General features: G+C 38.9%; 1 pseudogene; it reads right to left on the bottom strand.

Moving 5' to 3' along the window:
* Positions 1–11854: 11854 nt before the first annotated feature.
* On the bottom strand, positions 11855–11960 carry LOC124900454 (uncharacterized; annotated as a pseudogene).
* Positions 11961–12348: the final 388 nt, after the last annotated feature.

Genomic DNA, 12348 nt, shown 5'->3' with positions numbered 1-12348 from the left:
GCTACTACACCATGCAAGGTTCTGAATGGGTGAAATGTGAGTTCTTTAGGAAGCACTTATTGAGAGCGGAGGACATCACTTGTACTGAATGTGCTACACGATACCAAAGAAGCAAAACAGCATAGCAGCCAGGCGCGGTGGCTCACGCCTGTAATCCTACCACTTTGGTAGGCCGAGGCGGGCGGATCACTTGAGATCAGGAGTTTGAGATCAGCCTGGCCAACATGGTGAAACCATGTCTCTAATAAAAATACAAAAATTAGCCGAGCGTGGTTGTGTGTGCCTGTGGTCCCAGCTACTCAGGAGGCTGAGGCAGGAGAATCGCTTGAACCCGGGAGGCGGAGGTTGCAGTGAGCCAAGAGATTGCGCCACCGCACTCCATCCTGGCCAACAGAAGGAGACTCCCTCTCAAAAACGACAACAACAAAAACAAACAAAAACCATAGCAGCTGCTCTGTGCCCCCCAAAGCTTTATTCAATTCAGTTCAACAAATATTTTAATTGTCTAATAGGGGCCAATCACTGTGGTAGAAGCTAAGGATGCAGTGGTAAGCATGGTAATCACGTGGAGGGCACATTAAACAATTACAAAAATAGTCTGTAATGGGAGTTATAAGTGCTGTGAAGGAGAACCATACCATTCCATGATAGTATATCTTTGTGACCTCTACTGATCTAAGGGGTAACCAGAGAAGGCTTCCCTGAGGAAGGGACAAAAATACTATATAATCTGACTGCTTAATATCAGCATGACATAGGTGAAAAACCAAAAAGCATGGTTCACCTTCTGGAACCTTTACAAGAATTTCTGGCTGCTGCTTTTCCCTCTGTCTCCATTGTCTGTTCTGTTAAGGTCATGTTATTAGAAAAGACGAAGTTATTTCTATCACAGCCCAGGCTCCAGCCCCGTATTTGATGCTCTAAAAGTATGATTACTGTTTGCAGTGTTTTTCAGACCAAAAGGGTAAGTAACTTACGTTTTTCCATCTGTGCCTGCCTCCCTTCTGTGAGCCTAAAAAAGTGATAACAACCAGAACATTTTAAGCTTAAACATACTAGAGATTTTCTAAAATTGTAAGATTAACACAGAAATATTTTAGATATATTGTAACATTAGACCCTAGCATTAACCTTTCAAAATACTTATTTGAAGCTTATTTCTCTCAAGATTTAACTATGAAATATAATTGATAGGTATGTGTTATCATTAGTATACTTAGTTAATTTAAACCAATAAGATGTTAAAATGCTTTGTGTTTTATTAGGATCCCCAGAGTGGTTAAAAATATGATTTAAAATGCAAGCTAAATTTAGATAAAGCCATTCAGTATTGTGGAGTTTTTTCCTAAAAATATAAATCCAGACCTCTGGATATATAATTTACAGTCAAACTTACTTAATTGAAACATTCTCATAATTGTGGTAATATTCAATTGATTGTTACTACGATTAATTGTAAAATAATAAAGAGGGAATAAAAAGCATCTCTGACAATTTGGGAGGCAGAGGATGAGAGAGGCAAAATAATGCTCCCCTAAAGATGTCTACCTCCTAATCCCCTGAACCGAAACTGTGAAGGTAACAGGTTACAAGGCAAAGAAGAATTAAGGTTGTAGATGCAATTAAGGATGCTAATCAGCTGACATAGCAAGATTATCTAACTGAGCTCAATGTAATCACAGGGTCCTTTTTCATTTTCTTTCTTTTTTTTTTTTTTTTTTTTTGAGACGGAGTCTTACTCTGTTGCCCAGTCTGGAGTGCAGTGGCACGATCTTGGCTCACTGCAACCTCCGCCTCCCAGGTTCAAGCAATTCTCCTGCCTCAGCCTCTTGAGTAGCTACGGATTACAGGCGTGCACACACCCAGCTGATTTTTGTATTTTTAGTAGTCTCACCATGTTGGCCAGGCTGGGCCACAAGGGTCTTTTAAAGTAGAAGAGGGAGAGACAGAAGGGCTTGGCCCAATGTTTCTGGCTTTGAAGATGAAGGAAAGCAGCCATGAACCAAGGAAAGGCGGTGACCTCTAGAACCTGGAAAAGGAAAAGAAATGAATTCTCCTGTAGAGCCTCCAGAAGAAATACGGCCCTATTGACACCTTGATTTTAATTTATTGAGACTTGTCAGACTTCTGACTGATCCAACTGTAAGATAATAAATTTGTATTGCATATAGTACTAGTTTTTGGTAATTTGTTACAGTAGTGATAGGAAACTAATACGGAACATAAACAGAAGAGAGAAAGAGAGAGAGAGAGTATGTGTGGTTGGGGCAGAAGGTCACAGTGGGGAGAAAGCAGCAGAAGATACAACTAGAGGCTGAGGTAAAGGGCAGGTTTTGAGGAGTCTTCTATTCCACATATTTAGCTTCAGCCTGTCAGGCCACAGGAAGTCAACAGAGAAGCAGAGTCATGACAGAAAGACCTGATCTGAGAGATGTTCTCAGGAAAGACTGAGGCACTTGATGACTGATTGAATAGGGGGAATAAAAGACTGAGGGACTCATAAATGACTCCTACATCGGCCTCTGGATGACTGAAGAAATAGTCTGTAGAAAGAAACGGGGAAGGAGAAAGGGGTATTATTTGTAGAACTGTTGCTAGAAAAGAATTTAGAGGTTATCACTCCAGTAAAAACCAGAGCCAGAGCTAAAAGCCAGTCTCCCCACCCTGCATGCCTACCCCAGGGCTCATACCCTTCTCACTTCCTGTCAGTGGTATCCAGTTGGAGTTGGTAGGTCCAACACATGAAAATGTTTCACGAGTGGGATATAAAATTAAGTAAAGGGAATGTCTCTTTGGTGTACAGGGAGTGGCTCATATAATGCTGGAAACTATTTCAAATTGGAAATCATCTTAGCAAATGGGTTTGTTTTCCACATTTGAGAAGTTTAAAAATGAATGTTCTCCTGTATCTTGGGATAATAGAAGGCAGACACAATAACATCCTAGGGTAACATTCTGCCATTTTATTAGCTGAGTGTCAACACTTTTCTTGACGATATTGTTGACCTGAAAAGTGACTATCAAGCTGATATTGGATTCCTAAGATTGGGATGATGATAATAGCTACTTATTTATTTATTTATTTGTTTGTTTGTTTGTTTATATAAGACAGGGTCTCACTGTGTCACCCAGGCTGGAGTGCAGTGGTGCAGTCACAGCTTACTGCAGCCTCGACTTCATGGGCTCAAGTGATCCTTCCACCTCAGTCTCCCAAGTAGCTGGGACTACAGGTACGAGCCTCCATGCCTGGCTAATTTAAAAAAATATATATTTTTGTAGAGACAGGCTCTCCCTATGTTGCCCAGGCTGGTCTCAAACTGCTGACTTCAAGGGATCCTCCCACCTCAGTCTCTCAAAGCGGTAGGATTACAGGTGTAAGCCACCATGCCCAGTGCATCATAGTATTTTTTAGTTTGTATAGCACTTGTGATTGGCCAAGAATTTTTCTCATACACTGAATCCATGGGAAGGAGAGGCTCAGAGCTACAGAGTTAATTTTCACATTGGCAGAGAATCCCTTTGGGTGAATGTGCCAGCCTTGTACAAGATTAACAAATTCGTTTCAACATAGATGATTACACACTGCTTTCTTAAATATATATACCTATACATATATAATTAAGGCAAAATTCCAATTGATTACAAGTAAGTGAAAAAAAAAAGTTATATATGACTGAGCGAATTGAGCCGTGACTGCCTCTGGTATTGTATTTGATTCCCAGGATTTTCTTTGTGCAGTAGTTTCCTACTCTGTCACTAAGGGCGTCTGTTGATGGATTGGTTTCCTCATATGCATGGACTGCAAGGCATTAATATAGGGCATATTATACATTGCAAGTTGTTTGCCTTTGGGGCCAGTAGGCAATAACATTTTGAAAGCTGCAAGACTGGGGAGATGAAGGAATGATGCCAAGGTTAACAGGCTGTGCATGAATACATTTGACCCCTATATGAGGGGGCTCACAAAGCCTCCTTTTGACTGTCTTTGTTTTCTACAGCCTGGATACTGGGAAAAACCACAAGGGTAAGCTATTAGACTGTTTTCTTCATAATTTTATTCCAAACTTCAGTTTCTTTGCAGGAAAAGAAAAACTTGAAAAACATTTTGTTTTTCTCCTACACTCTAGCACTCTAACCCATGACCATCTCATGTATCCCATTTTTATAGATGCTCTCTGTCCTCAGCCCATAACAATATTTTTCTACCACTAAGGGAATGGATTTTAAAACAGCATTTAATAAATAAAATTCACTTGAGTACTCCACCCAGAGGATTTTTTAACGTTCAGATCCAGAGTCCTCAAAGAAACCAGAAAAACAAAACTCCCTTTAGTCCAACAAAAAAGTTATAGTATGTAATACTTCTCTAAAACTAAAACTGTTTTCTTGCCATGGGGCTGCACGAATGACCTTTTCCTAAGAAGAATCACAAATTATGGTGCCAAAACATTTTACTGTTCTTAATTCATCTCATCTTTGAATAGTATATCTTCATCCTCACTGCTGACATACAGTAGAAAAAAAATTTCCACGTGTCAAAATTTCATCCAAGCAGCAGCTCTGATGTTTTTCATTTTTTTAATTTTTAAAAAATTTTAAACAGTTCATCATGTAAGCTCTGGTGTTTGAAGACTCAAAAGAGAAATGTCCTCAGAGAATATGGTATATTTCTGAAGACAGCTGACAGAAGAGGGAACCCTTAGCTAGAAACTATATAGCACAGAAGTTAAGGTTGGGATTTGGAATCAGAATGATCTAGACATGAGCTACCATGCTGGGCTGATTTTTTTTTAATAAGATTTTTTGAACTGAGATATGCTTCACATAAAATTCACCATCTAAAAGTGTACACTGGGCAGGCATGGTGGCTCACACCTGTAATCCCAGATCTTTGGGAGGCTGAAGCAGGAGGATTACTTGAAGCCAGGAGTTCAAAACCAGCCTGGGTAACATAGGGAGACCCTGTCTCTACAAAACAATTTAAAAATTAGCAGGGCATGATGGTGTATGCATATGATCCCAGCTACTTGGGAAGTTGAGGTGGGAGAATCACCAGAGCCTGGGGCTGGCAGGGTTGGGGGTGGGAGTGGCTCAAAACTGCAGTGAGCTGTGATTGTACCGCTACACTCCAGCCTGGGTGACAGAGTGAGACCCTGTCTCAAAACATAAAAAATAAAAAAGTATGCACTTTTGTGTTTTCTAGTACATTCACAATGCTGTGCAATCATTACCACTGTCTAATTCCAGAACATTTCCATCATCCCTACCTCTTAGCAATTAGTCCTATTTTCCCCTCCTTCCTGTTGAAACTGCTTACCTATTTTCTGTCTTTAATAGATGTGCCTATTCTGGATGTTTCGCATGAACAGAATTATATATTATGTGGTCTTTTGTGTCTGACTTCTTCTACTTAGTATAATGTTTTCAAGGTTCATCTTTGTCATAGCATACAACAGTATATATATATTCCATTTTATGACTGATAATATTCCATTGTGTAGATAAATGTGGTATATCTATTTATCCATAGAGGGAGTTTGGGTTGTTTCCACTATTTGGCTATTATGAGTAGTCTTGCTATGAACATTAATGTACAAGAATTTGTGTGAAAAGTGTGTTTTTAGTTATTTAGAATATATAGGAGTAGAACTGCTGGATCACATGGTAATTCTATGTTTAACTTTTTGAGGAACACAATGATCATTTAAAAGTATAAATCTGTCCATGTCACTCTCCGGTAGCTTCCCAATGCATTGAGAAAGAAATCTAGAATCTTAGCATACCCTTTCATGATCCAACTTTATCTTCTATCATTCTCCTTGTTCACCAAGCTCCAGACACACTAACCTGCCCCTTCCTTCTCAAAAATGCCAATTCCCTTGGTGTTGGGAAAACTGGATATCTGCATGCAAAAGAATGAAGTTGGACCCTTACCCTACACCATATACAAAAACTAACTAAAAACGATAACACTGTGAAGCTTCTAGAGGAAAACTTAGGGGGAAAGCTTCAAAACATTAGATTTGGTAATGACTTTTTGGCTACGACACCAAAAGTATAGGTAACAAAAGCAAAAATAGACAAATGGGACTACATTAAACTTAAAATCTCCTGTGCATCAAAGGAAACAATCAGCAGAGTGAAAAGGCAACCTATGGGATGGAAGAAAATACTTACAAATCATATATCTGATAAGTTGTTAATATCTAGAATACACAAACACAAGCAACAACAACAACAACAGCAAATTTTTATAAAGGGCAAAGGACTTGACATTTCTCCAAAGAAGATATACAAATAGCCAACAGCATATGAAAAGGTGTTCAACATCACTAATCATTAAAGAAATGCAAATTAAAAAAAATGAGATAGCATCTCACACCCATTAGAATGGCCATCAAAAAAAAAAAAACAGAAAACAAGTATTGAGGATGTGGAGAAACTGGAACCCTGTGAACTATTGGTAGGAATATAAAATAATGCAGTTACTGTGGAAAACAGTATGGAAGTTCCTCAAAATTTAAAAAGAGAATTACCACATGATCTGGCAAACCCACCACTGGGTATATATTCAAAATAATTTAAAGCAGACTCTTGAAAAGATATTCACATACCCATGTTCATTGCAGCATTATTCACAATAGCCAAGAGCTAGAAGCAACCCAAATGTCCATTGACAGATGAATGGATAAACAATGTGGTATATACGTGCAGTGGAATATTATTCTGCTTAAAAAAGAGAGAAATCCAGTCACATGATACAATATGGATAAACCTTGAGGACATTATGCTAAGTGACATAAACCAGTCACAGAAAAGATAAATACTGAAAGATTCCACTTACATGAGGTATCTAAAGTAGTCAAATGATAGAAGCAGAAAGTAGAATTGTAGTTGCCAAGGGCTTGGGGGCCAGGAATGAGGAGTTGTTTTTCAATAGGTATAGATTTCAGAATTGTAAGACAAGGAAGTTCTAGACATCTATTGCACAACAATGTGAATGTAGTTAACACCACTGAACTGTACACTTAGAAATGGTTAAGATGGTAAATTGTTTTTTTTGTTTTGTTTTGTTTGAGATGGAGTCTCACTCTGTCGCCCAGGCTGGAGTGCAGTGGTGCAATCTTGGCTCACTGAAACCTTCACCTCCTGGGTTGAAGTAATTCTTATGCTTCGGCCTCCCAAGTAGCTGGGACTACAGGGGTGTGCCACCACGCCCAGCTAATTTTTTGTATTGTTTTGGTAGAGACTGGGTTTCACCATGTTGGCCAGGCTAGTCTTCAACTCCTGGCCTCAAGCGATCATCTCTCCTCTGCCTCCCAAAGTGCTGGGATTACAGGTGTGTACCACTGAGCCCGGCTTAAGATGGTAAATTGTTTGTGATGTTTTTTACCACACTTTTTAAAATAATACATTTTTTTAAAATACCAAACTCTTTCCTGCCTAACAGGCTTTGCTCTTGCTGTCCTTTCTGCCTGGGACACTCTTGCTTTTTGCATGATTGGTTTCTTTTCATACTTCTAGTTTCAGCGTAAATGTTACTTCCTCAGAGATATCTCCCTTGACAATCCTATTCTTTTAAATAGGTCCCCCATGAATCTCAGTCTCAACAGCTTGTTTGTTCTTTTTAAAAGACTTATCACAATTTGTAATTATATAATTTATATATTTTTGTCTGTCCTACTAGAATATGAAGTCTATTAGGACAGCAGCTATGTCTATATTTTATTCTTTATCATTATTATTATTATTATTATTATTATTATTATTATTATTATTGAAATAGGCTCTCACTCTATCAGCGAGGCTGGAGTGCAGTGGCGTGGTCTCACCTTTCTTGTAGCCTTGACCTCCCAGGCTCCAGTGATCCTTCTGCTGCAGCCTCCTGAGTAGCCAGGACTACAGACGCATGCCACCATGCCTGGCTAATTTTTGTGTCTTTAGGGTTTTTTTTTGTTTGTTTGTTTTGGAAAGATGGAGTTTCACCATGTTGCCCACACTGGTCTCAAACTCTTGGGCTCAAGCGATCTGCCCAAATCAGACTCTCAAAGTGCTAAGATTACAGGCGTCAGCCATCGTGACTGGCCTATGTCTGAATTTTAAACCACACACCTACCTTAGTAATGGATACACAATAGATAAAACATATTTTTCTTTCTGAATGAACAAATGAGTCTATGTAAACTGGGAAGAATAACATCTACCTCATGGAGTTGCTGTGACAGTCAGGTGCGGTAACATGTATAGCTCAGGGCCTGCCTCATGGCAAAAACTCAACCATTTTTTTCGGGGAAGGATATGTTGATTGTACCAGATGATTTTTAAATGTCAATCCAACCCCAAGGTTCTCAGGAATGGTGCAAGGGTACTGGGCAAGCAGGGCTATATGCAGACTAGCAAGCAGAACACCTGCATTCTAGTCAGGAAGTGCAACCCTGCCAGCAAGTAAGATCTTTCATGCCTGGGCCCTACAGGTGCAGAAGTCATTGTTCTTTGCTGAGAACTTCCCAGTATTCTCAAAGTTGTCCACACCTTGTGGAAAAGGATGAAATACTTAAAGTAGGAGTTCCAAACCTAGGGAGCCTTGAGGAATCATGGAGAGAATTCAGAAGGTCTGTGAACTTGGATGGGGAACAAATGACATCTTTATTTCCATTCACTTCTAACAGAAAGTCAGTATTTCTTTTATTATAAATGTTGCCCTCCTCAAAAAATCGAAATCCTCAGTAGTACTAGCTGTACCTGCGATTTTGTTACCAATACAAATCACTAAGATTGTCCTACCTTACAAACATAACTGTCTTGAAATAGTTTATGCTCATTACTAATTCAAAATTATGACAAACATTAGGCCTGCCATTAGATTTTGTTATTTAATAAGTTAAAAAGCATAGATATTAATATTTCACAAATTTTACCTTTAAAATATGTGATAACATTATTTCAATATCATGGGATTACTCTGTAATTCTGTGTATTTTATTTTGATATATCTGGAAACATTCTAAGTGGTCCATTAATTTCACCAGATTGCCAAAAGGGTTCTTGGTACATTTATATGTTAATTATGCACAGAGCCTGTTATGAGAAAAACTTGGGACTATAAGCCCTGCCACCCTGCTCCCCATTCAAATTAGGAAGGTGCCGAGAGAACAAAGAATGACTCGGACGTCCAACTCGACAAGTAGATGAGTTTATTAGGACTTACATGCAGGGCACTCCTGAATGGCTGCAGGAGAGCTCTAGAGATTCACAACTACCACCTGTCTTTAAGCTCCTTCTAAGCTAATTTTCTGGCTCTTTGCCTCCTGCATTTGAGCAATGAGACTTTTTCTTGGTAGGTTCTCAGGGATACCTGCTTCTTGGCTGGGCACCATAGCCGTGGCTCACCACCCAGGCTTCAGGGTTCAGACAGTAGACATATACCCTTAAATAACCTGATGACCTGGCTGGGCATGGTGGCTCACGCCTGTAATTCCAACACTTTGGGAGGCTGAGGCAGGCAGATCACTTGAGATCAGGAGTTTGAGACCAGCCAGGCCAACATAGTGAAACCCCATCTCTACTCAAAATATAAAAATTAGCCAAGTATGATGGTTCATGCCTGTAGTCCCAGGTACTTGAGAGACTGAGGCAATAGAATCGCTTGAACCTGGGAGGCAGAGATTGCAGTGAGTCAAGATCACGCCACTGCACTCCAGCCTGGGCGACAGAACAAGACTCCATTTCAAAACAACAAAAAAAACAACAAGATATCTGAGGACCCATCACATTACACAATTCCTCTCACACAATAGAAGATCCATGAATGATTCCTCATGATCATAAGAATTTATATTCTCATACTTTGTGTTCTACCTTGACTCTGTAATCATGTAAAGAATAAATTAGAAAGGCCAGTTTGGTTCTTAGGGAAACTATGTTTTTTTAAAAATCTTGTGAGCAAAAGACTTGTTGTTTCTCTTCAATTTTTCACCATGTGAAGAAAGTCTGAAATGTATCTGTTTAAGGTATTTTGCTGACATCATTCCATTCCTTCTAAATAACTACTCATATACCACTTGTGACTATAGCACCTAAGGCAAGGAAATATAATGGAGCCTCTGTGATTTGTGATGTCGTTTTAACTCAGTGAAGCATAACTATGACTGAGACCAACTTTTCATGGATTTTGTTTTAATGCTTCAAATGAATGTCAGCAGAGGATGTAGAATCTCCTCTGCTTATAAAAGAGTAAAAATTGAGAACATAAAAACATTCTCAACTCTAATAAAGGGAAACTGCAATGCTGAATACTCAAACTAATGCTGAATTATTTTATACTCAATATTTTATACTCAGTATTTAATACTGAAGAAATATCCAAACTTATTATGCTAAAAGACAGAGTCATATGATCAAAAGCCGAGAAAAAATAGACAATAGAAAGTAACCCACAGGTAATCAGTGTATTAGATTAGCAAACAAGGACTGACTAAAATGTTCAAGAAAATAGACAAAAAGATATAGAAATTCACCAGAGAATTAGAATCTATTTTTAACATAAGTTATGGAACCAAAAAAATTTACAATAACTGAAATTAAGAGGAGCCAGGAAAATCAAGGGCATATGGCAACAGCAACCACAGAGCAGATGGGGAAATGTCGTTATGCACATGGATGCTGACGCTGACTCAGCACATGTTTCAGCTGCATCTCTGGAACCCTGTGTCAGGCCGGAACCCTGAAATCTAATGCAGACTCAAAAAACTTGTGCACCCATTTTAAAAAAGAAAACTTTAAAAATGTAAACTCTGACATGTATATTCAAGAGTATCCTCCTAGTACTACATTGCAGTTAGTAGGTACCAAAACAAAGTTCTTTGTCAAGAGCAATTCTTCAAGAAGCACATGCCTGTGGTCCCAGCTGCTCAGGAGGCTGAGATGAGAGGATGCCTTGAGCCCAGGGGTCCAAGGCTGCAGTGAGCCATGATCACGCCACTGTACTCCAACCTGGGTATGGAGTAAGATCCAGTCTCCCCGCCCCCCACAGAAAAAATGTCAAAATGATTCTAAACCCAAGTACATTTTAAAATTTTCTATCATGACATTTTAAAAAATAGTTGGACAATTAGCTATTGCTCTATTTATAAAGGATTAGGGAAAAAATGATGGCACAGCAATTGCCAAAAAGCTTCCTTTAAAATTATTGCATAAGGGTGGCTGATACCGTTTGGCTCTGTGTCCCTTCCAAATCCCATGTTGAACTGTAATTCCCAGTGTTGGGGGAGGGACCTGGTGGGAGGTGACTGGATCTTGAGAGCAGATTTTCCTCTTGCTATTCTCATGGCAGTGAGTTCTCACAAGATCCGATGGTTTAAAAGTGTGTGGCACTCCCTGCTTCACTCTTTTCCTCCTGAAGACATGTTTGCTTCCCCTTTGCCCTTGTGCCATTATTGTAAGTTTCCTGAGGCCTCCCGGCCATGCTTTCTGTACAGCCTGTGGAACCATGAGTCAATTAAACTTCTTTTATTTATAAATTACCCAGTCTCAGGTAGTTCCTCATAGCAATGTGAGAACAAACTAATACAGTGACTATCACTGGGGCTGCGGCCAGATTTCCTACAGTTAATTTTATAATCGATACTTCAGACTTGGACCTGCCTAACATTAAAGCATACATTATAACCAATATTATGAATTCAGAGTCACAGAAAAGATGCTAGGGAGTTTTTTGGTTAAATAATTCCCTTTAAAAGTGGGGAGGGATTGGTCTTACACAAAATAACAACAAACCCAGAGCCAGAAGGAAAACTGCCTTATTATTGTTATTATTATTATTATTATTATTATTATTTCTTTTTTCTTTCTTTTCACATGTTTGCGGCAGGAAAACAAGGCAGCTCAGCTCATGGCAGTCCTGATGATGATCCCTGAGGGCTGATCTTGGCCTCTAGCCTTGGCTGAGGAGAAAAGGGGTGGCTTCTTATTAATGATCAAAAATACACATGTGATCTACCTCAGCATAGGGAAACTTGGACAGGTGACTTGGCAAGCCATGGATGATATTTAGAAAGCTATTGTTTGGTTAACTTTTAAAAAGAATCATTTTGCTTATTTATACTTTATGAGTAAAATACAAAGAGAAACTGTCTCCTGGAAATTGATCATGAAATTAAAATGCAACTTCAAGTGTACTGATGAGGTAGAATAATTGCATGAAATTCCAAGAGATATTTAAAGACAATGATATTGACTGGTAGGTTGAAAGTAACAAACATCCTCTCCTTTCATTTTTCTGTTTTATTTTTGTCACAAATTTTCATTGCTCATATTCTTATTTCCCCTTCTATTGTCTAGAAATCAATG

Source organism: Homo sapiens, chromosome 1 (genome assembly GCF_000001405.40).
Source record: "Homo sapiens chromosome 1, GRCh38.p14 Primary Assembly".
Lineage (NCBI taxonomy): Eukaryota > Metazoa > Chordata > Mammalia > Primates > Hominidae > Homo > Homo sapiens.
This window is presented reverse-complemented; position numbering and strand designations above follow the sequence as displayed.